Source organism: Homo sapiens, chromosome 18 (assembly GCF_000001405.40).
Source record: "Homo sapiens chromosome 18, GRCh38.p14 Primary Assembly".
In the NCBI taxonomy this organism is placed as follows: domain Eukaryota; kingdom Metazoa; phylum Chordata; class Mammalia; order Primates; family Hominidae; genus Homo; species Homo sapiens.
This window is the reverse complement of record NC_000018.10, coordinates 47,329,253-47,355,527: the sequence shown is the minus strand read 5'-3', so window position 1 is coordinate 47,355,527 and position 26,275 is coordinate 47,329,253. Positions and strand designations below refer to the sequence as shown.

The following is a 26,275-nucleotide window of genomic DNA, read 5'->3' as shown; positions in this document are numbered from 1 at the left end:
AGCCAATGTGAGCCAAAGTGTCTCCAACCACATCAGTTGGAATGGCAACCTCCCCAGCTGAAGGGGATCTGGGCCAGAGAATCAAAGACCACCATAACCCTTTATCCTTCTCAACTTCAGTCTCCCCACATGTGAAACTGGGGTAAATAACCTCACTGGATCTATTTCATTGAAATGCTATCAGGCGCAAATCAGACAAGAGAAAATTAAGTATTTACAAACATACAATGTTTCTGAAAGGGAAAAGTCTAGGAGTCAGAAGACTGCAGGTTTGGTCCAAATGTTGGCATTAACTGGCAAGACAGCCATCAGCAAGTCACTTGGGCTCTGTGGGCCTTAGTTTACTGACCTGTAAAATGAGATCTCTGGTCCAAATCTTGCAAGTCCTCCCAGCTCTCAATGGGCAAAGGAAGGGACATGACATTTCAGGCCTCATATCTGGGGCAAGATTTAAATGTTTGACATTGGTCCAGATTGGTAGTCTAGACCCCACCCTCTGCTGATGCCCACAGTGTGTGCCCAGGGCCTGGTTTCACCAACCTGGAGCTATCAGACCAGCTGCTCTCCTTCCTAAGACACTTACAGCTTCACTTACCCCTCAATTACCTGGCTCCTGCCCCACAGGTCTCCTTTTCATTTCCTCAGACTCTCCCACTCCCTTTTGCATGTTCTGTTCTTGCTGCCTGCCTGGTTCTCTCTTGCCTTGCTGCCCAGTGGATCTGACTACCTGCATGTGTATGTGAGGACAGAGGTTTAGTCTGTTTTGTCCCCCTTTGTATTCCTAGTGCACAACCAGCACCCCCACATAGTGAACGTTCTGTGACTATTTGCAGGATGGATAAATGAATGCATGAATGAGCATATAAACTATATAAAGAGATTTCCAAATTAGAACCTCTATTTGTTTATATCTAAATAATCATTTTTTGCTTTAAAATATTTGTGGGAGATGATGCATATTATCTACTAATATGCATCCCGAGCTTTCTGACCAGAAGAACCTGGTTTTATTCAGGGCTACTCTTCAGACCTCCTCACAGCTAAGGGTGACCTGTGACTCACTTCAGGCCAATGAATTGCAAGCAGAAGTCTAGTGGGAGGGCATTCAGGAACCCATTGTTTTCCTGATAAAAGGTAAAGACTCTGCCAAAACACCATGCCTTTTGCCATTTGCAAAAGTCGCTGCCTGGAACTTGGACCTGGTCTCTGGAGGCAGAGCAGCCATCATGGGAGTATGAGGACAAAGGCCACATGCTAAGAATGACAGAAGAAGATCAAGGAGCCAAGATGGCCGAATAGGAACAGCTCCGGTCTACAGCTCCCAGCATGAACGACGCAGAAGACGGGTGATTTCTGCATTTCCATCTGAGGTACCGGGTTCATCTCACTAGGGAGTGCCAGACAGTTGGCGCAGGCCAGTGGGTGCGCGCACCGTGCGCGAGCCGAAGCAGGGCGAGGCACTGCCTCACTCGGGAAGCGCAAGGGGTCAGGGAGTTCCCTTTCCGAGTCAAAGAAAGGGGTGACGGACAGCACCTGGAAAATCGGGTCACTCCCACCTGAATACTGCACTTTTCCGACCGGCTTAAAAAACGGCACACCACAAGATAATATCCCGCACCTGGCTCGGAGTGTCCTACGCCCACGGAGTCTCGCTGATTGCTAGCACAGCACTCTGAGATCAAACTGCAAGGCGGCAGCGAGGCTGGGGGAGGGGCGCCCGCCATTGCCTAGGCTTGATTAGGTAAACGAAGCAGCCAGGAAGCTCGAACTGGGTGGAGCCCACCACAGCTCCAGGAGGCCTGCCTGCCTCTGTAGGCTCCACCTCTGGGGGCAGGGCACAGATAAACAAAAAGACAGCAGTAACTTCTGCAGACTTAAATGTCCCTGTCTGACAGCTTTGAAGAGAGCAGTGGTTCTCCCAGCACACAGCTGGAGATCTGAGAATGGGCAGACTGCCTCCTCAAGTGGGTCCCTGACCTCTGACCCCCAAGCAGCCTAACTGGGAGGCACCCTCCAGCAGGGGCACACTGACACCTCACACGGCAGGGTATTGCAACAGACCTGCAGCTGAGGGTCCTGTCTGTTAGAAGGAAAACTAACAAACAGAAAGGACATCCACACCAAAAACCCATCTGTACATCACCATCATCAAAGACCAAAAGTAGATAAAACCACAAAGATGGGGAAAAAACAGAACAGAAAAACTGGAAACTCTAAAAAGCAGAGCGCCTCTCCTCCTCCAAAGGAATGCAGTTCCTCACCAGCAATGGAACAAAGCTAGATGGAGAATGACTTTGATGAGCTGAGAGAAGGCGGCTTCAGAAGATCGAATTATTCTGAGCTACGGGAGGACATTCAAACCAAAGGCAAAGAAGTTGAAAACTTTGAAAAAAATTTAGAAGAATGTATAACTAGAATAACCAATACAGAGAAGTGCTTAAAGGAGCTGATGGAGCTGAAAACCAAGGCTCAAGAACTACGTGAAGAATGCAGAAGCCTCAAGAGCCAATGCAATCAACTGGAAGAAAGTGTATCAGCAATGGAAGATGAAATGAATGAAATGAAGCGAGAAGGGAAGTTTAGAGAAAAAAGAATAAAAAGAAATGACCAAAGCCTCCAAGAAATATGGGACTATGTGAAAAGACCAAATCTACGTCTGATTGGTGTACCTGAAAGTGATGGGGAGAATGGAACCAAGTTGGAAAACACGCTGCAGGATATTATCCAGGAGAACTTCCCCAATCTAGCAACGCAGGCCAACGTTCAGATTCAGGAAATACAGAAAACGCCACAAAGATACTCCTCGAGAAGAGCAACTCCAAGACACATAATGGTCAGATTCACCAAAGCTGAAATGAAGGAAAAAATGTTAAGGGCAGACAGAGAGAAAAGTCGGGTTACCCTCAAAGGGAAGCCCATCAGACTAACAGCTGATCTCTCGGCAGAAACCCTACAAACCAGAAGAGAGTAGGGGCCAATATTCAACATTCTTAAAGAAAAGAATTTTCAACCCAGAATTTCACATCCAGCCAAACTAAGCTTCATAAGTGAAGGAGAAATAAAATACTTTACAGACAAGCAAATGCTGAGAGATTTTGTCACCACCAGGCCTGTCCTAAAAGAGCTCCTGAAGGAAGCACTAAACATGGAAAGGAACAACCGGTACCAGCTGCTGCAAAATCATGCCAAAATGTAAAGACCATCGAGACTAGGAAGAAACTGCACCAACTAACGAGCAAAATAACCAGCTAACATCATAAGGACAGGATCAAATTCACACATAACAATATTAACTTTAAATGTAAATGGACTAAATGCTCCAATTAAAAGACACAGACTGGCAAATTGGATAAAGAGTCAAGACCCATCAGTGTGCTGTATTCAGGAAACCCATCTCATGTGCAGAGACACACATAGGCTCAAAATAAAAGGATGGAGGAAGATCTACCAAGCCAATGGAAAACAAAAAAAGGCAGGGGTTGCAATCCTAGTCTCTGATAAAACAGACTTTAAACCAACAAAGATCAAAAGAGACAAAGAAGGCCATTACATAATGGTAAAGGGATCAATTCAACAAGAAGAGCTAACTATCCTAAATATATATGCACCCAATACAGGAGCACCCAGATTCATAAAGCAAGTCCTGAGTGACCTACAAAGAGACTTAGACTCCCACATATTAATAATGGGAGACTTTAACACCCCACTGTCAACATTAGACAGATCAACAAGACAGAAAGTCAAAAAGGATACCCAGGAAATGAACTCAGCTCTGCACCAAGCGGACCTAATAGACATCTACAGAACTCTCCACCCCAAATCAACAGAATATACATTTTTTTCAGCACACCACACCTATTCCAAAATTGACCACATACTTGGAAGTAAAGCTCTCCTCAGCAAATGTAAAAGAACAGAAATTATAACAAACTATCTCTCAGACCACAGTGCAATCAAACTAGAACTCAGGATTAAGAATCTCACTCAAAACCGCTCAACTACATGGAAACTCAACAACCTGCTCCTGAATGACTACTGGGTACATAACGAAATGAAGGCAGAAATAAAGATGTTCTTTGAAACCAACGAGAACAAAGACACAAAATACCAGAATCTCTGGGACACATTCAAAGCAGTGTGTAGAGGGAAATTTATAGCACTAAATGCCCACAAGAGAAAGCAGGAAATATCCAAAATTGACACCCTAACATCACAATTAAAAGAACTAGAAAAGCAAGAGCAAACACATTCAAAAGCTAGCAGAAGGCAAGAAATAACTAAAATCAGAGCAGAACTGAAGGAAATAGAGACACAAAAAAGCCTTCAAAAAATTAATGAATCCAGGAGCTGGTTTTCTGAAAGGATCAACAAAATTGATAGACCGCTAGCAAGACTAATAAAGAAAAAAAGAGAGAAGAATCAAATAGATGCAATAAAAAATGATAAAGGGGATATCACCACCGATCCCACAGAAATACAAACTACCATCAGAGAATACTACAAACACCTCTACGCAAATAAACTAGAAAATCTAGAAGAAATGGATAAATTCCTCGACACATACACTCTCCCAAGACTAAACCAGGAAGAAGTTGAATCTCTGAATAGACCAATAACAGGAGCTGAAATTGTGGCAATAATCAATAGCTTACCAACCAAAAAAGAGTCCAGGACCAGATGGATCCACAGCCGAATTCTACCAGAGGTACAAGGAGGAACTGGTACCATTCCTTCTGAAACTATTCCAATCAATAGAAAAAGAGGGAATCCTCCCTAACTCATTTTATGAAGCCAGCATCATTCTGATACCAAAGCCAGGCAGAGACACAACAAAAAAAGAGAATTTTAGACCAATATCCTTGATGAACATTGATGCAAAAATCCCCAATAAAATACTGGCAAAACGAATCCAGCAGCACATCAAAAAGCTTATCCACCATGATCAAGTGGGCTTCATCCCTGGGATGCAAGGCTGGTTCAATATACACAAATCAATAAATGTAATCCAGCATATAAACAGAGCCAAAGACAAAAACCACATGATTATCTCAATAGATGCAGAAAAAGCCTTTGACAAAATTCAACAACACTTCATGCTAAAAACTCTCAATAAATTAGTTATTGATGGGACGTATTTCAAAATAATAAGAGCTATCTATGACAAACCCACAGCCAATATCATACTGAATGGGCAAAAACTGGAAGCATTCCCTTTGAAAACTGGCACAAGACAGGGAGGCCCTCCCTCACCACTCCTATTCAACATAGTGTTGGAAGTTCTGGCCAGGGCAATTAGGCAGGAGAAAGAAATAAAGGGTATTCAATTAGGAAAAGAGGAAGTCAAATTGTCCCTGTTTGCAGATGACATGATTGTATATCTAGAAAACCCCATCGTCTCAGCCCAAAATCTCCTTAAGCTGATAAGCAACTTCAGCAAAGTCTCAGGATACAAAATCAATGTACAAAAATCACAAGCATTCTTATACACCAACAACAGACAAACAGAGAGCCAAATCATGAGTGAACTCCCATTCACAATTGCTTCAAAGAGAATAAAATACCTAGGAATCCAACTTACAAGGGATGTGAAGGACCTCTTCAAGGAGAACTACAAACCACTGCTCAAGGAAATAAAAGAGGATACAAACAAATGGAAGAACATTCCATGCTCATGGGTAGGAAGAATCAATACTATGAAAATGGCCATACTGCCCAAGGTAATTTACAGATTCAATGCCATCCCCATCAAGCTACCAATGCCTTTCTTCACAGAATTGGAAAAAACTACTTTAAAGTTCATATGGAACCAAAAAAGAGCCCGCATCGCCAAGGCAATCCCAAGCCAAAAGAACAAAGCTGGAGGCATCACACTACCTGACTTCAAACTATACTACAAGGGTACAGTAACCAAAACAGCATGGTACTGATACCAAAACAGAGATATAGATCAATGGAACAGAACAGAGCCCTCAGAAATAACACTGCATATCTACAGCTATCTGATCTTTGACAAACCTGGAAAAACAAGCAATGGGGAAAGGATTCCCTATTTAATAAATGATGCTGGGAAAACTGGCTAGCCATATGTAGAAAGCTGAAACTGGATCCCTTCCTTACACCTTATACAAAAATCAATTCAAGATGGATTAAAGACTTAAACGTTAGACCTAAAACCATAAAAACCCTAGAAGAAAACCTAGGCATTACCATTCAGGACATAGGCATGGGCAAGGACTTCAGGTCTAAAACACCAAAAGCAATGGCAACAAAAGACAAAATTGACAAATGGGATCTAATTCAACTAAAGAGCTTCTGCACAGTGAAAGAAACTACCATCAGAGTGAACAGGCAACCTACAAAATGGGAGAAAATTTTTGCAACCTACTCATCTGACAAAGGGCTAATATCCAGAATCTACAATGAACTCAAACAAATTTACAAGAAAAAAACCAACAACCCCATCAAAAAGTGGGCAAAGGACATGAACAGACACTTCTCAAAAGAAGACATTTATGCAGCCAAAAAACACATGAAAAAATGCTCATCATCACTGGCCATCAGAGAAATGCAAATCAAAATCACGATGAGATACCATCTCACACCAGTTAGAATGGCGATCATTAAAAAGTCAGGAAACAACAGGTGCTGGAGAGGATGTGGAGAAATAGGAACACTTTTACACTGTTGGTGGGACTGTAAACTAGTTCAACCATTGTGGAAGTCAGTGTGGCAATTCCTCAGTGATCTAGAACTGGAAATACCATTTGACCCAGCCATCCCATTACTGGGTATATACCCAAAGGACTATAAATCATGCTGCTATAAAGACACATGCACACGTATGTTTATTGCAGCATTATTCACAATAGCAAAGACTTGGAACCAACCCAAATGTCCAACAATGATAGACTGGATTAAGAAAATGTGGCACATATACACCATGGAATACTATGCAGCCATAAAAAATGATGAGTTCATGTCCTTTGTAGGGACATGGATGAAATTGGAAATCATCATTCTCAGTAAACTATCGCAAGAACAAAAAACCAAACACCGCATATTCTCACTCATAGGTGGGAATTGAACAATGAGATCACATGGACACAGGAAGGGGAATATCACACTCTGGGGACTGTGGTGGGGTGGGGGGAGGGGGGAGGGATAGCATTGGGAGATATACCTAATGCTAGATGACGAGTTAGTGGGTGCAGCGCACCAGCATGGCACATGTATACATATGTAACTAACCTGCACAATGTGCACATGTACCCTAAAACTTAAAGTATAATAATAAAAAAAAAAGAAAGAGAAAGTGAAAAAAAAATAATAAAGTGGATGAGTTTAAAAAAAAAAAAAAAAAAAGAATGACAGAAGAAACAGCCTGGCCCCTGATGACTTGCCTGAATAGCTACATTAGCTCTGGACACGCTGTTCCTGGTCTATTTTTCATGAAAGAAAACTAAAGCCACTAATTATTTAGTCACTGGGGTCAGATTCTGCTACAAACAGCAAAATGGAATCCTGAGTCAACAGCTAATCAGAAATGAGCAATGTGACTGTTCAAGAATTATTCACTGAGCACCTACTATGTGTCAGGGACTAGGATAAATGTTTTTAATATTTTGGAGTACAAATCTGAACATGACTGCTGTTTCCCTCAAACTAAGTGAAAATCCTCTAATTGATAAATGTCTGGTGGCAGCTTTTCAGTAATATTCTTGAAGTTTTCTTTAACTGCTTCTGTTGCTCATCTTCTGGGGAGGTCTCTTCATACATGTTTTGCCTCCCCAACTAGCAGGTTAAACCATATGAAACTGCTGTCTCTATAACTCAAAAATATATGTACATTCACTGTGATTTAACTTAAATGTCACATCTGACTCCTTAATGTGAACCATAGACTTTTCTCTGTGGTCTTGATTCAACCCCTGCAACACATGCAATTCATAAGGGAATATTCTCCTTAGAAAAGGAAAGGGAAGTCTCTTCCTGTCCCAGAGCCTCAACTTCCTCATCTTTATAATGGGAAGGGCGGGCTACAATCTCTCTAGGATTGCTGACACCAACTGATATAGTTTGGAGATGTGTCCCCACCCAAACTTCATGTTGAATTATAATCCCCAGTATTGGAGGTAGGGCCTGGTGGGAGGTAATTGGATCATGTGGGTGGATTTCTTATGAATGGTTTAGCACCATCCTCTTGGTGCTGTGCTCGTGATAGTGAGTGACTTCTCACGCGATCTGGCTGTTGAAAGGTATGGCGCATATCCCTCTCTTTCTTGCTCCCACTTTCACCATATGATGTGCCTGCTCCCCGCTTTTGCCTTCTACCAAAAGGCTTCCCTGAAACCTCCCCAGAAGCCAAGCAGATGTCAGCACCATGCTCCCTGTCAAGCCTGCACAATTGTGAGCCAATTAAACCTCTTTTCTTTATAAATTACCCAGCCTTGGGTATTTCATTATAGCAATGCGAAGATGGACTAACACACCAGACTAACACAGTGGTCTAGAAAGTGAAAGCAACACCCCCAGGGGCCTCACTGCTCAGTGAAGATGCCAACCAGGCTCTGAGCACTGCTGCCGATGAGAATTCCATAGAGATCCCAGAATCAGATGTGGCTGGTAACCCAGCAGTCCCCTGGAGATTTTCTTGCCCATTCCTCTGCCCGTAACACTGGCCCTGCCTTCAAGTGTTCCCAGTAAGAGCAGCTCAGTGCAGTTAGAAGCTATATCTCTGGGGCAGTCTCTCTGGGTGGGCAGACAGTATCATAGCCTTGCACCTGTTTCCTTTTCTTACCAAAATAATAATAATAATAATAATAATGATGATGAGAGAATACAAAATGACAACAGCACCTTGACTATCAACTACAAAAAATTAAAATACGTATGCATGTGAACTGGATGTCCATGCTACCATATAAATATGAAATTCTTGGTGATGGTGGCATCAAAGGTCACTTAAGAATTCTTTCCTCATTACATTATATTTTCAATAATAATTCAAAAAGCTGTTGTGATGAAAAATGAGCTGTGGAGCATGGAAGAAAGAGTTCAAAGTTCCAAAGAGACACATTACTACTTAAATTCCAATGCTGCCCATTTAGAGTGAGGATTTCTATATGGAGATGGAGCCAGCTCCTGACATCTCTCTCCCATCTTTGGAAACAGCTGCTCCCTCCCCAGCCTGTCAACCACCCTTCCCTGACAAATCCATCCTTCCTGGTGAGAGCAGTCAGGCCAACAGCCCTCCATCCCTGCTGCCAAGTTTCTCTGGGTGAACTCCAGGGTAAGGTGCATTGAGGGAGTTAATTGCACCAGCCCCCATGCCACCCCCAGCCCAGCACACTGACAATTTGGCAATGGCACTACTGGTACAAGAGCAATATGCCAAGCAGCTGGTGGCAGAGAACTCTGATTTATTAACAGGAATCCTGGGATGGCAGCCAAAGTGCCCCTCTTTCCCAAGGAGCAGCAGGGCCCAGCAGTCGGTGGATGTGCACCCTTAACCAGGGCCCAGCACATATGTAGGTGACAGAAATTCCACAATTAAAGCTTCATCTCTTCATTCCCTTTAGAGTTAAGTAGTTTCTACACGACCTGCAACCACTCCCCTACCCACAAAGGGGGGTAACACATTAAAACTTTGTTAGTCATTTACACCTCTGTGTGAATGACTGTCAGCTCCTTTCTTTGCTCAGCAGCCAAGGTGTGTGTTGGCCTGGAACCCAGCACAGGTATATTTTTATGGCTTTTTAGAGCCTGGGAATGGTGTCCAAGGAAAGAACTTGGGTCGTCTAGAGCAATGAGTATGCCCATTGGAATGAGAGGGAGAGCCCCAAGAGGAGAGGTGGCTGGTTCGAAATGCAAACAGCACCAGCATCATGGTATTATCCAGGGCAGTACTAAGGCCATGACTCTCCCCACCACCTCTCCCACACATCCATTGGCCTCTCCCACAGACCAATAGCCAGTGCCCCACTGACCTCCAGTGGCCACCACAATGCTGGGCAACCAATAGACAAGAGGCCCAGGCTGAGGGAACCTGCCCACCCTCGCTTATTCAGTCATTCATCCACCCTCTCACCCATTTTTCATACTTCCACCCAAACGTCATTCAAAAAGTATTTATTGAATCCACACTATGCCAGTCACTATAAGCACAAGGGATGCAACAGTGACCCAGTGACACAAGTCCCTGCTCTTATGAAGCTCTCGTTCTAGCTGGGAAAGCAAGCAAGTCAACAGCAATCACAGTAGCATGCAGCTAAGTGCTGTGTAAGAGATGGGCAGGGAACTATGGGAGCTTCTAGGAGGGTCACTGAACTCAGATGTGGGACTGGAGAAGCTTCAGTCTCCCCACCTTTAAAATGGCAGCATCACTGCTTGCCCAGCCAACCTTATAGGGTTGCTGGGAGAATGAGCTGAGATAATGCTTGTGAAAGAACTTTATAAACTGTAAAGCACCATGCAGATGTATAGAAGTGTTGTTATCACTGCCAATATGTTCATCTTGTTCATCCAGGCTTCTTCCAAAAGACAAGGGAAAGGACCACCAGGCCCTTTCTAGGCATTCCAGGGCTGAAGCCTGCAGGCCAATGCTCCCTCAAAACAGGACAATCACCTAACATGGAAGTGCTTGAATGCTGGCTCACTACAAGCAGTCTTACTGGTTTATCCAACAATGGGGGCAGTTGCATAAAATCATTCACAGTCTAGGAATTCTTCAGTTTTGCCCCTTATTCATTTTTGTATTGGTGTGAGGGTCTGTATGAGTATACAGGAGGAGTTGATGGGCATAAGAGGACCAGGCTAAAGATTCACTCTGTGCATGGAGCATAGGGAAGTTCACAGGCTGAAACCATGGTTGCAGGAGCACACTGTGTTTGCCAAGTGCATTAACCAGAAATTCACATTAACCTCAAAGGACAAGAAGGAAACTCCATCCTATGACAGGCTCTTTGGATGAAGGCTGTTTTCAATACAGAGTGAGGTCATTGAAGCCAGAGAATATGTCTGCTCCATGGGATCTGGCATGAAGCAAGCCCCTCACCCAAAGCTATAAGCAACAGAGAAGCCAACAATTGTTTGCTGACTGTTGGAAATAATGTACCATCCTGTGTTCACAGATAGAAGAAGAGCAGGAATTGCATCTTCATCTTCTAGAGATGGGAATTGAGACACAGTGAGGATGAAAGACATCCCCAAAGGAAGTAAGGACAGAGAGGATACCAGAGCCTGGTGTCATGACTATGTATTTTGGGGCTCATTCCTCTCTCTGGAAAGACAGCACTCTGTCGGGGTGGATTACATTTCCAATCGTTCACTACTAGCAATCCACTTAACTTCTATAATCTTCACTAGCCTATATCTGTAAAATTGACCATGGGTGTTAGTCCATCTCATAGACTTGCTGTGAGACTCAAATAGGATAGTGTATTTAATAAGCATTGTGTAAACTCTCTGGTTCAAGACATATCAAAGAGATCATCATTATTGTATGGATTCCAAGGATGGTAACTAGGGTGATGCAATCTCGGAGGGCATAAAGAAACACCTTCAAAACACTGAGAACTAAACTTCAAGCCCTTGGAAACTGTAGCCATCAGCCATTAGCTGGAGCCAGGGGAGCCTGGGTTTATGTGGTCCTTGAGGGAGGGATGAGAGGGGGCTGCCTTGGGCTCTAAGGTCACTAGGAATGTCCAAAGCAAAAAGCCACCTGCAATGACTTCCTTTGCAAGTGACAGCTACAACCCACCAGAGGACAGTACTGTATATTCCAACAACAGGAAAGCCTGTGTTCTAGATCTGTCTCCACCACAAATGTGTATGGTGACTTGGGCTTTGTAACTCATCCCCCAGGACCCAATTTCATTTATAAAGTCCACAACACATGCCCAACTCACTCATGAGTTATTGGGAGACGTTGCTATTATAAAATAAATACCAAAAATCTGCATCAGTATTTAATCCACTGTGACATAAGAACAAATATATTGTCGGTCTCTGCATCTGGTTTCTGACACAGAGTCCTAAAATTCTTGGAATTTCCTGACTGATGAGGATAATAGAGGCATCTTACAAAGAGCTCCTAAATCCCTTGGAACTTCCTGGGTGAGAGGAACGTCTTTTGTTCTAATGAGGCAACTCTTTGGTGGGCTCCTACATAGCTTCGGGATGGGAGCTGGTCACCAGAAAGGCCAAGCCATGATTAGAAGCTTGAAATTTTCAGCCCCATCCTCATCCTCTGGGGAAGGGAGAGGGGATAGAGATTGAGTTACTAATCCATCATTCCTGTATGATGAGGCCTCCATAAAAAATCCTGAACTCTAGGATTCAGAGAACTTCCAGGTTGAACACTTTCATGTGCTGGGAAGATGGTGTACCCCAACTCTACAAGGACAGAAGCTCCTGCTCTCAGGACTCTTTGGGACCTTGTCCTATGCACCTCTTCCTTAGGCATATTATTCCTTATGCATTTGTGTCCTTTATAATATCCTTTATAATAAACTGGTAAACTAAGTAAAGTGTTTCCATAAGTTCTATGAGCTATTATATAGCAAGTTACAGAAACTGAGGAGAAGGTTGCAGGAACTCTACACCCAAGTTGGACGGAAATGGGAATACCCTGGGCACCCAATACTTGTAACCAGCATCTCAAGTGGGGGACATTCTTGTGGGACTTAGCCCTTAACCTGTGAGGTCTGCACTAACTCAGGGTATTTAGTGTGGTTCCAGAATTGAATTAAATTGCTGGACACCCAGATGGTGTCCACAGAGAACTGGTGTGGAAAACCCACATATTTGTGGTCAGAAGTGTTATGAGTAGAAAAATATTTTTTCTTGTATCCTCCAAGTGTGTATTACATGCCCAAATGTCTGCTTTCTCTTAATTGATGAAATGTTATAAGCTGTGTTCCAGTAGGAAGGCATCACAAAGAACAACTAGTGAAATACAAAATTCAAAATTGCCAGAATTAAACGGGTAAATTACAGCCAATATTTATCAGGCATAATGGTTTCTTCCCCCCGCCCCATCTTTTCTCCATCAAATTATTCAGATGGGCACCCCCATTTTGTTCCATATCATGGTTTGGGCTCTACAGTGTAACCAATATGTTGAGGTCCTATCAAAGGCAAGGTACAGGGCAAGTCATCCTTGAAAATCACATCAAGTGAGCTTTTAGTCTATAGCATTTGTTCATTTTTAATATAGGTGATTAAACAAGTGATTTTTTTTTAAAAAAAAAAAGGAGCTCCGATGCCTTTGGTTAAACACATTAATATAAATGATTTTAAAAAAGCTAATCTCCTAATGAGTTGAGAATTTTATATTGATTCAGTAATTACAAAGCGTATTGCAAAATCAATGACAAATACTCCTGAAATTCATATTGATTGGCTAACTCCAATAAGATTGTATTGAACAGAGACGATATATTTAAGAGTGTAAATGTGTGTTCTTGTTAACACATTCAGCGACAAATAAAAGCACGAGGGTAGACCTCAGGCCCGCTTGGAAGGGACTCTGTATACTGCTCATGCTCTTTCTACATGCTTGGTTCTGGCTTTCGAAGCTGCTGGTTAATGAAACATAAGATTATTACTCCCTTGTGCATTTAAGTTTTCGGGTCTTTATACAATAATTAATTAGGATTATGTGACAAGAAGAGAATTTCCACTAGGAAAAGAAAAACTAATAGTACTGCTTTAACAAATGATGCTTAAACTCCTATTGACTCAACTTAATTTATTTAATCTTTCTACCTAGACCACCCTGAAGGTAATTATTCACTTTAAATACTTTTAAACCAGTATCTTTTAAGTCTGGGATTTCTCACGTAGCCACTTAGTGTCTAATAAAGTAGGCTTCCTGGGAATGAAGTGTTTCAAATTATATTAGAAATGGATAGATCCTTGAAACATACATCTCAGCGGTTCTCAAAGTGTGATCCCTGGATCAGCAGCCTCAGCATCACTGGAGAATTTGTTAGAAATGCAAATTCCCAGGGCCCCACCACCGACCTACTAAGCCAGAAACTCTGGGGGTTGGGCCTGGAGACCTGTGTTTTCACAAGGTGATTCCAATGCATGCTCAAGTTTGAGAACCACTGCTGTCGATCATTAAGATTTTCCTGAGCAATTTACTACATACTTAGAACTATGCTACATGTTATGGGAGAATATGTGGTACTTGCTCTTAGGGAGCCTACAATCTGGTTAGGGTGTTAAGATTTACATAAAGATGCTCCTTGACTTATGAGGGGGTTAAGTCCTAATAAACCCACCATAAGCTGAAAATATCCTAAGCAGAAAATGTATTGAATACACCTAACCTACCGAACATTGTAGCTTCATCTAGTCTACCTTAAACATGCTCAGAACACTTACAGTTGAGCAAAATCTTCTAACATAAATGCTATTTTATAATAAAGTATTGAATAGCTCATGTAATTTGTTGCATACTGTGCTGAAAGTGAAAGTGAATGGTTGTATGGGTACTTGAGTACAGTTTATATGAATGTGTATCACCTTTGCACAGCGGTAAAGTGGAAAACTCATAAGTTGAACCATCATAAGACCATCATGTCAGGGACCGTTTGTACTTGATTCTGTCACCAGCTAGCTTTAAAATGTTAGCAAGACCTCTGGACCTGCTTCTTCATTCATAAGAAGATAAAGTTGCCCTAGATGATCTCTTAAAGTTGTATCAAACTCCAGATATCATTCTTTTGGCCTACAGATTTGAGAAAAAAATGACTTTGTTCACAGTTCTATACTGGCAAGCTATACGATTTGAAACACAAGAGGTCTCATCACTTTCCTAGCTAACTCCCCACTGGAATGACATATTAGTGTTCTCCAGAGAAACAATAGGAGACTACACACACACACACACACACATACACACACACACACACACAGATTTATTATAAGGAACTGGCTCTCACAATTATGGATGCTGAAAATTCCCTGATCTTCCATATGCAAGCTGGAAATTCAGGAAAGTCAGGGATGTTCCAGTCCAAGTCAAAAGCCTGAGAACCAGGGTGCTGATGGTAAGTCCCCCAATATTGCAGCTCAAGCAATCCACTAGAGAAAGGAAAGTCTTCTTCTGCCTTTCTGTTATTTTCTGGGCCTCGATGGATTGGATCATGCCCAGCTACGTTAGGGGAAATGTACTGTAGTCAGTCTACCAATTCCAATGTTAATCTCATCCAGAAACACCCTCAGAGACACACTCAGAAATGTTTAGCCAAATATCTGGGCACCCTGTGGTCCGGTCAAGTTGATGCATAAAATTAACCATTGTGAATGGATGGTCTCTGATTTTCCTTGTAAGAGGCACACCTCTGGGTCCTACCACAGGGACAAAACCATCTCTGGAAAGAAGAATGTCATAGAGAGGGGAAGGGAAATACCTCCCCCTCCTGTGGGATTCCAATGTGCCCCACCTGGTGAGAACCACTGCTCCAGCCCATTCCTACATTGGGGATCTCTGAGCCTGGGCCCCCAACAGACAAGATATAGGGTTAAAAGGTTTTCCTGGGATGAAGGAAGAGAGAACTGCATGACCAAATCTTGGGTGGTGAGAAATTTTATTTATTTGGCCATATCAAGAAAATCCTGAACTAAGGAAGGCAAGTTCTGTGTGATAAAGGAACCAGGTGAAAGAGTAAGCCTTGAAATAAAAATCCCTACAACTCCACAGCTGTGTCTAAGGCTGCCTCTACCTGACCCTTCCTGAACCCCTGACCTACCCATCTTCCCACATCTCCCAGCACACATTGTGCTTAGGAGGTATGACTGTTTTTAATGAAATGATTACTTATTCATGGTTCATTACTGGCCCTGAAGGTAATCCTCCAGGAAAAGTTTCTAACATGGTTTACATGAAGACACTATCACTGAAAACATTATTAGGGATTGCCAAGGGGAAATGGGCAAACTTATTTAGGAATGTGGCACATAACTTGGACACAGGAAGGAGAACATCATGCACCAGGGCCTGTTGGGGGGAGGGGGGAGGGATAGCATTAGGAGATATACCTAATGTAAATGACGAATTAATGGGTGCAGCACACCAACATGGCACACATATACATATGTAACAAACCTGCACACTGTGCACATGTACGCTAGAACTTAAAGTATAATTTAAAAAAAGCCTTAACATGATGTCATATTTAAAACAATGCACCTTTTTAATAGTGATGGCATGTTAGAGCTGGAAGGGTCTTCAGAGGTCATAGAATCCCCTTGTTTTACAGTCTATGTAGCAAACTTTAGCACTTAATTGTATACTCTTTCATAGGACAATAAATGATTTGTTCATTATTCTTGTACTCCTTTTGGTTAGGCTGAGAACCAAGACTTGAATCCAGAGCTTTTGCCCTCTGAAGCCAGATCTCTCTGCATCACTGAATGAGGTGTCTTTTATAGCAGAAAGAGAAAACAGAGAACAAAACAAGACATTTCTTTATGCTGCCAATTGTGCATTCTCCTTCCTGAAAATATGCTTTGATGAAAAACACCTTTCATTCAATCTTCAAGTAAAATGGGCATTGCAAAATATGCAATATCATTCCCAAGGCTTTGCCTGCCCCATGTCACACCACCATGTATCCCCAAAAGTGTTTGTATGTCTGTTTGAGATCTTCTCTTCTGGGTTCCCAGACACAGCCAACCCCAAGAAAATGTTCAAGATCCCTCCAACTCAGTCCTGCTCTTCTCATTTATATCCTTTGGGAAACATCTACATAACTAATTTATACTAAGGAATTACATATTGAAAATAGGTTCCTGTCTCACAGATATGTGAATCTTAACAAAAGGCATGGCCCTTACCCAAAAAGTGGTGCAATTTAAAGCATCAGTGGTCAACAAGTTGGAGAATATTTTCAGCCACAGAAGAGAGGAAGATGTCACTGCTGCCCCTTAGTCACTCCACACAGCTGATTTTGATTCTGTGGGGTGGCTGTCCCCCTTTTGGCAAGGTTTCCCTTTTAAATGGCCCAATCGATATTCATTAGGCATTGCCAGCTCCTTGTCTCTCCCTAACTGATTTATCCACCATGCTATAAAACCCATTAAAAATTAATTCTCTAATAGACAAGGGCTCAGATTGGCTGCTCGGAGGTTTCAGATACAGGGCAGATGTGCATTGCCTCTAGGAGGGAGAGACTCAAAGGCAGGGGCTATCCAGGAGTAGAACATCCCCTCCCTAGGTCCATGTGCCCAGAAGATTCCATGAGCAGCTCTGGTGACACTCATCTGCCCCAAGAAAATTGTGTCCCAAAGCCTTCCAAATGGGAAGGGAACATTGATCTGGTCTTCCTAATCAAGGACTGGAAAATAGTGGACCTGGGTGATCTCCTGACCCAAATGGGCCCATCTGGGAGGGAGGAGGGAAGGTAATATTTCTTGTGCAGAAAACCCATCCCTGGCCAGATGGCTAGCCCTTTCTGGTCCTCTTGGGCTTCGGTTTTGTTGAATTTTGCTGGCCTCCTGCCTCTCAGGGAGTGTTTCCCTCTAGTGCTTCTTTTTCTCTCTGACCTTTGGGTGTAAATATTCCTCAAGATCCTCCTCCTCCCTCCACTTCCCTTCTTTCTTAGCAGTCTCATAATTCTAGCTATCATCTTTTATGCGCTCTTTCATTCAGCAAGTAAATATATTGAACAGTGCTATATGACAGGCACTATAACCAGAGCTAGAGATGCACGGCCATTCCTGCCCTCCGATGTCTCCAGTTCTAATAGGAGAAAGAGGCACCTAAGACAAGCAATCCCAGTGACATAAGCAGAGCTTCAGAACATGGAGGAGGCACAGGCAAGAGGCCCCAACCCACGGGGACAGGGAGGTTTTCCAGAGGAGGGCGTGAGGTCTGGCTGGAGAACAGAATGGCCCCATGGGGAGCAGCCAAGCAGACACACTGGTGAGGGTAAGGCCCAGAGAGAGGAAAGAGCTGGGATGTTTCTAGGCCACGGAGGAAATCAAGGTGAGTGTGAGGCAGGAGTGGTGAGGGCTAGGGTGGAAGAGGTGAGCAGACGTGGATTGCCATGAGCTTTGAAGGCAAGAAAGGGTTTTACCTAAGAGAGATGGGTGGTCAGATTTCTTTTTTGAGAGAGATCACTGGAGCTGCAGTGTGGAAAACAACAAGAGGGGGTGGAAGATTGAATTAGGGGAACCCAAAAGGCAATATTCCAGGTAAGAGATGATGGTAGCCTGGCCCGGAGCCGTGACAGTGGCAGTACCTAGACGTAAGCTATAACAAGAAATAAGATCTAGCGAGAATAACTGAGGGAAGTGGGAACTTGTTCACTGTTAGACCCCTCAGGCTGAGAACAGAGCCTGGCATGAAAGAATGAATGGGTGGATGTAAGAAGGGAAAAACTCAGAAGACAAGCCCTGGGTCAACCTAAAATGTGATTAATACCAATTGGTAGATTTAGTAATAAACTGACAAATTTGAACCTAAGAATAGATTTTCTTTTTTGTAATGTTCCATAATGTATCTTCATCGTAAAAAAAACAGCACATGCTTATTCATTAATTTATTTCACAAATACTTATTAAGCAACTACTATGTACCAGGCACTATGCTAGATGCTGGGGATATAATAATAAAATAGGTATGGTCCAGGCCCTCAAGGAACTTACACTTCATACTATCCATATTGACACAATGTTGCGTTCTAGAAAAAGTAAGTGGGAGGAGGGAGCACATGCTGTTCCCACTTCCCTCCCTGTCCACACATGGGAACTGTCTGTCCAGCACATCACTAACAGGCCTTCTCTTCCTGCACTGTGTGCCTAGGAAAAATACCCAGGCCCTCAGCTCCAGCAGTAATGCCAAGCCTCCCACACAATGGCCAATAGCATCATGTTGAAGATCAGCATTTCTCTTTGCACAGCCTGACCTAGAGTTTGACCCAGTTGGCAGGACATGGCAGTCTCTCTGAAGGATGAGTGAGGGGCCTCCCACTTGTAGAACAGATTTCACGAACTTTGCCACACCCTGGCTGCAAGACCAACTTCCCTATGCTCTGTGAAATGTCTTGTGCACTGGTAGGCAAACGGGGAGGCAATTAAGTGGCCCAGGGATAAGGAGGAGGCCTGAGGAGACTTTTCAAAGGATGGAGACTGGAGACTCGAGGGCTGAGATTGTGGCTGAAAGTTATGAGAGGCATGAAAACAGACATGGTGTTACATCCAGGTGGCAGAATTTGTTCAGCAGCTGCCCCCAATCTTAAAAGATGTAAGAAGTAGTCCTGATAAATAAAACTTCCTAAAAGAGGTAAAAATTACAAGGCAGCAGACAGCAATGCAGGTGGATTCAAGGAGGATTTAGATAAACTTATGAAAATATTCCTAATGGTTAAAGGACATTTGGAGGATTGGGGGAAATCCCAAAGTTGTTGAAGCCCCATCAACTGCCCTTTTTCAGGAGTAGACACCAAGACTGGATGAACCAATGGATGGTCCATGGTGGCATTTCTGATCCCCATAGTACAATGATGCCCAAAGCAGGCCTGAAGCACATCCAAAGGCCTCAACTCAGCCTGTTCTAGCCCTCAAGGACATGGTTGGCTTTTTCCTATCATTAACTTGAAATTTATAATCACCATCCCTGTCCTGAAGTCTGTGTATTTCCAGATCTGTGAGCATTGCTGCCTTCCTCCAAGAAACTTCACTCTTATTATGGCATCTCACCCCATCGTTCCTCAGAACCTGGGATTAGGCAAGTCCTACCTCAGAGCCAGGGCCCAAAAGAGACGAATTGGATTGCTACTCACTCTCTGGCTGGGAGGCCAGTGTGAAGTCCTCTGGGAAACTGACAGTGGTCCTTCCTGTCTCTCTCCCAGCTCAGAGGGCTTGCTCAATACCATTGCCAGGGGAAGCTGTTCTATTTACAGGCTCCCAGGAAAAATGGTTCCCAAGAGCCCAGGCTAGAGAACCTGACTCCCTTCACATCCCTCCTTCTCCACCCAGCATTAGATTCCAACCACCTGCCCCTAGCTCCCCTGGTGCATTTCCTTGCCCAAGTCCCTGACCATAAAGTAGATTGGCTGCCTGGTCAATTTCCTGATTGCCCTACTCTGCACATCTTTTCCAATGAGTTGGGAAGATACATCAGTCAGAGTCACCCCCATTTCCCCAACAGGCAGTTTTCTTTCTTGCCCCATTGGACAGCTTCTGTGCTGAGCCCATCAATGGGAGAGGCCCAGAGCCTGGGTTCTGGATTTCCTTCCCAGACAGCAGTGTTCCTGGTCCTCACTGGCTGATTGCAAATTGCTGCTTTCACTTTGTTTCTGGCAGAGAGATTTTGTCCAGTTTCCATTGCAACATACTGACCACAAAAAGCAGGCAGGCTAGTCCAGGGAAGATGGACTCTGACACCTTACACCCATTCCCAATGGGAACTCCAATGTCCAGGCTCTGCTGGCTCCAAGAACAGGAATACAGATGATTTGAGCCTTCAGGGTCTTTTCCCATCCATTCCCAATATTCTTACATTGTCCTCCATCTCTCCTATCCATACATTTATTCATTCAACAAATACTTTTTAAGGACCTACTATGTATTAGGTCCTGGGAATACCAGATGAAGTAGACAGATCTAGCCCCAACTTCACCAAATTTACAGGGAAAAAAAAAGAACAACCTTATTTGTATTTTGATGTTCTGTGTATTGGCAGAGAACATGGTGCTTATATGCAAGTGTGTATCCACCAAAATGTTTTGTCCCCGCTGCGGGGTATATTTTGAGTAAAGGAGTCTATCCGATACTCTCTCAAATCTCATTCCACAAGTAATATTGTGTTCTGGCTCCACTGTTGTTCAGTTCTGCCTGAACCCTGATGTCTGCCCTCCTGGACTATGCCAACCCCTCCCTCCTCTAACTGTCACAGCCCCTCCCCACCTCTCCTGCCACTCTGCCCCGCTCAGCACACTTTCCGTTTAATGCAGCCCTAGCTGGAAGCAAGAGCAGCAAGACTAATTTCATTTCTCTTCTTTTCCTTTGGTGAGTCGATCTGTGACAACCCTTTTTATGCATTTAATTCATTCTCGATTTCTCATAATCAGGGAGAAGGTATCCCCTAAGGTTAGGCAAGAGCTTGTCAGAAAAAAAAAAAAAAGAAAGAAAGAAAAGACAGTGTAAATTCACAGAGGTAATCATAGTCTATCTCCACTTCCCACTGCCCGTGGAACTATTAACTAATATCATTCTCTAATCTTTTTTTGTACTTATTTATTTTGTAGTGAGAAACTAGCGTTATAAACACCCCTACTGTCAAAACTTGTCATCCCCATTACCTCTAGGCGGGCTTCATCTCTGTTATTCTAATTTCAGAGTTTCTCAAATTCACAGCCGCTGGAAATTGAGTACAAAATCCATTATCATTTGTATATTTTAATTATGCAAATGAGGCAGCTCAGCTGCGATGTCCGGGACCTGCAGGGATGCCTGACTTGATTCTGGGTGATTACAATTTATCCAGTCGAGTCACTTTAATTGTAACAAGCTAATTACATTGTTTCATTTGGCTTTAACAAAAGAAAAACAGACAGGAAGCTGGATGTGGCTTGGGGCCCCCGGAATAGACCGCTGCCTCTCCCCAGGCTAGGATGGACGTGGCCAAGGGAGTGGGTGCAGGCTTCCCTGCCCAATCAAGGGGCCACTGGAGGACCCCAGAAGAAGGGCGGGCAGTGGCGAGGTAGTGGAGGCAGCTGCCCCTCTGGGCAGAAGACAGCCCACCCATAGTCTCTGTCAGGGGTGGCAGGAGAACTTTCACAGTGGCCAGGAGTTTATCCAATGGTAAGCCTGACCTTGAAGAAATCAGACCATCTTTCAGAAGGGCCCTTTCCACATAAGCTTTTCTTGGCTACAAGCTAATGTATTTGAGGACCCACCTAATTTCCACTGTTGTATATGTACAATGTTTCTGACTAAACCTAGGTCCCCCCTGCACTGAATGTTGAAGCCAGTGAGAATCTTGTGGAAGTGTTTCCTATGGTCAGAATAGAGAGGATGCAGAAGTGGGCAGGGGAGCAGAGGGCAGACAAATGATGGAGAGAATTCGGACAAATTCCATAAAGTGGGGAGGATGCTTTATGAACTCATTCATTAGGGTTGTGTTTTTATTTCTGTGATCAATGAAAAACAGTTATGCATTTGAACTGAAAGTAGCTGTTTTGTCTTACAGTCATTACTGCCTGCCAGCAAGAGAGAGAAGGTGCTTAGGTTTACAAGTGTGTTCAATATTTTAGCAGAATGAGAGTCCCAGGAAGCACAATCCTCACTTACATTAACAAATGGCCATGCCTTATAACAGAGTTACAGCAGGACCAAAATTAAAGTGTTTGCTACAAGGGATAACTCAAGTCTGGCCACGCAGTCTGCCAAACACATTTTTTTTTTTTTGAGACTGAGTCTGTTGCCCAGGCTGGAGTGCAGTGGCATGATCTCAACTCACTGCAACCTCCACCTCGTGGGCTCAAGCGATTCTCGTGCCTCAGCCTCCCAAGTAGCTGGGACTACAGGCATGCACCACCACACCCAGCTAATTTTTATATTTTAAATAGAGATGGGGTTTTGCCATGCTGGCCAGGCTGGCCTCAAACTCCTGGCCTCATGTGATCCACTTGCCTCAGCCTCCCAAAGTGCTGAGATTACAGGCATGAGCCACTACGCCCAGCCCACTTTTTTTTCTAGTAATTATTTTGGTTCACCTCCTCCCAGCACCAGAGTCCATGACCTTTCCACCTCTCAGCCTGGACTAGACAAAACCTGTGAGGAGGCTCACTTGCCTAACAGATGGCAATAAACACGGCAACAAAGTCCAGAAACCAGATTCCGGCCCAGTAATGTCAGTAAATCAATCAACCAACAAATATTTATTGGGGTTTACCGAGATGCTATTATAATCACAGTCTCTACTTTCAAGGTGATTATACTCCAAAGACAGAAATAAGGCTTATGGGTTTTCAAAGGAGCAAAGCTAGAGGGCTCAGAGGAGGTGTGACGGGAAAGAGATCTGTGGGGACCAAGATAGTCAGTATTTATAACATTACCTTCACTGTTGAAGGGGCTGCATTCCAGGTGAGGTAGACACTAAGCTGGGTCAGAGCTATGGTTGGATTTTATTCTGTTACAAAGAGTGGCCATTTGTTATCATAAGGGGTTACAAGTAGGATGGAAACAACATGGCCAGAGGCTGGAGTTCCTGTGGGGGAAGAGATGGCTGGAAAGACAGCGACAACGGTGGAAACAGGCTCTAATTAGCCAGGAACAAAGGCAGAGCAAAGGGGTTTGCTGCCAGCCTCGTGGTGCTAAGTACGTGATACAAAGGGTATGGCTTTCCCCATCAAGTCCACCCTGTGAAAACAGCATGTCTACCTGCAATACCAGCCTGGACACAGTGAGACAAAAGAGTCTGGGGGTGGACAGAGGAATGGCTGGCTGTGATGGTCGGATGTCTGCAGGATTCAGGATGACAAGTTGCTTGGTGAGTGTGGTGACACTGGGGTGTGAGTTGACAGGTTTTTTTTTTTAAAGAAGGTTGTATCTCCATGGATGAGCAGGAAGGAGATTTGTGGAAGGAGGAACCACATGGGCAAAGATGCAGAGGGAAGAGCAGCACAAAGCAGACTCAGAAGCTGGAAGGAGGTGGGTGGAGAAACGGCTGGTGGGTGCAGTGAAAGCAAGGATTCCACAAGCTATTTATGGAACCACCTGGCTCTGAGTTCCAGGTTGGCAGTTTCTTCTTCTCCTGCTGTCTAGACACCCAAAAGAGGAACCTGGTGTCATATCCAGCATGTGGTCACACCAAAGGAGGTACCCCAATAAATACACATGGCAGAAAAGAAGGGACAGAGGGAGGGAGGGAAGAACACAACACATGGTTGGAATTAGAAGATAAAGTTTCTCCTCCCAGACCCACTAACCAACCAGCTTGGCAGTTGAATTATGACACTTAAGGGCTCAGAACATGTTTCCAATCCATCAAAGGGGAAAGGGTGGGGTGTGGGGACAACAGGATATCTGTAATGAATCTTCCTGACACAGGTCTCATGAATTGAGAATTTGGTGTCTTTAAATCTCACTAGGTGGTGTCAGTTTGTGCTTAGAAATTCTGCTCTGCATTGGGGTGAGTGGTTGGTACAAAAAGAAAAAAAAATTGAGGCTGCCGCTTCTGCCTGAATTCTCCAGCTCTAAGTAAATTAGAGCCAGATGCCCAGTTCCTCATCGCTCCATCAGATGACTCCATGGAGTCATTATAATACTTTATGGGCATTAACTCACTGATTCTCATCATGCCCTGGGAGGGAAGCGCTCAGGATCATTATCCTCCTTGTGCCCAGGGAAGGGGGGAGCATCTCATTCTCTCCATGTGTGCATCCCGACAGCACCTGTCCCCCGAATGCACTGGAAGGGGAACGCCAGGATCAGCCGCACTCTGGAAAGATGGATGAGCTGGAGTCAAGGTTCTGGGAAGGGAAAGCAGTGATGGTGGGGGAGGAAGGGCCAGCAGCAGAGGGATGAAAGAGATGCATCAAAAGGGAGGAAAATTGGCTGAGATCGACTCGGCGATGTCTAAGGGATGCAGAGAACCAATTACAAATACTGGAACAATCTAGGCTTGGAAGAGGGAAGGAGGGAGGGAAAAAGCAGTGAGGCCAACCTGGGGAGGTGGTGTGGAACAAAGTGGGAGCGATGGTGAGATGGGGCCAATGGGCAGCCCTGGGGGTGCTGAATGGGAACTTCCAGAAAGTATTTACCAACTCTTTTGTTTCCCCATTCAAAGACTTCCTCATCTGGGGGCAAATTTTACATGTTTCTTCATCCCAGGAGGTCTTACAATTATTAAATTTTAGAGTTGAAGGCAACATTCGAGTTTAGATTAACTCCCTTATTTTACTGATGAGGGAACTGAAGCACAGAGACGGGAAGTAAGTGGCCAAGGTCACACAGCAAGTGTGACCACTCTGGGACAGGCTTGCACATCTCCTAACTCCCACTGGCCTGATGTCACCTTCTTGTCTCTGAATTTCTTCTCACACTTAACAGGAACCGTATCACCTGACACTTGATTTTATGCTCTCATATAATTCATTTCTCCTCTTTTCAAGCAATCAGAAATCTATTAGGTGCCAAAACCATGCCTTGGGCATCCCTGTGGCACCCTCAGAGCATAACCCAAGATATGGCACAGAGAACGGGAAAGGCTGGTATCTGGCTGGATGGGGGCATGTGCAACAGTCTGTGTCAGAGCTCCCACCAGAGATGCCAAACCTCCAAGAAGGAAGTTTGGAAATATAAGTTGGGAAGGCACTGGGAATCCACCAGAGAACAAGCCAGAAGGAAGGGGATAAAACCATGAACTATTGCCATCACTGAAAACACCAGCCAAGCAGCCCAAAGACATCAGAGCTTATGTGTAGCTGTGAACAAACGAGGTCTCTGGACACCAGAGAGCAAGTGATACCCCAGTTGGTAAAAGATACAGCAGTCTGTTCCAGCATTTTTGTGGCCTCAGCATTATATTTAAGCCACTGGACACTCTGTGTTCACTCATAACATCTCCCAGCTTTCAGATGCTTGCTGAAGGTGAAGCGCATCCTCATATCTAAATAGCATGATGATTAAGCACGCAGACTCAGGGGCCAGACTGCCCTTAGCACAACTCTCAGTCTTACCACTTACTAGCTATATAGACTTGGGCAAGTTCCTGAACTACTCTGTGCCTCTAATTCTTCATCAGTAAAACGGGAGTAATAAATGCATCTGCCTCATAGAATTATTATAAGAGTAAAGGAATTAATACATAAAAACACACTCAGGGCTGGGTGTGGTGGCTCATGCCTGTAGTCCCAACACTTTGGGAGGCTGAGGTGGGAGGATTGCTTGAAGCCAGGACTTCAAGACCAGCCTGGTAAACACAGTGAGACCCCGTGATGGGTAATATTGAGTGTCAACCTGATTGCATTGAAGGATGCAAAGTATTGTTCCTGGGTGTCTGTGAGGGTGTTGCCAAAGCAGATTAACATTTGAGTCAGCAGACTGGGAGAGACAGACCCACCCTCAATCTGGGTGGGCACCATCTAATCAGCTGCCAGCGCAGCTAGAAATAAAGCAGGCAGGGGAAGACGGAGGAGCAGACTTGCTGGGTCTCCCAGCCTTCCTCTTTCTCCCGTGCTGGATGCATCTTGCCCTCAAACATCAGACTCCAACTTCTTCAGCTTTTGGACTCTTGGATTTACACCAGTGGTTT

The 26,275-nt window shown here is 44.0% G+C and overlaps 1 long non-coding RNA gene across 1 annotated transcript in view, besides 1 other annotated feature; it reads right to left on the bottom strand.

Moving 5' to 3' along the window:
- Window positions 1-26,275, bottom strand: part of MIR4527HG (MIR4527 host gene) — a 308,827-nt gene that overhangs the window by 239,023 nt on the left and 43,529 nt on the right. The gene's annotated exons all lie outside the window — the stretch shown is intronic.
- Window positions 1,571-2,217: an enhancer, noted in NCBI's record as "H3K4me1 hESC enhancer chr18:44879682-44880328 (GRCh37/hg19 assembly coordinates)". NCBI's record gives its function as "activates a minimal SCP1, AML or CMV promoter by ChIP-STARR-seq in primed H9 embryonic stem cells {active_cell/tissue: H9 hESC(primed)}" and the evidence as "EXISTENCE:reporter gene assay evidence [ECO:0000049][PMID:30033119]".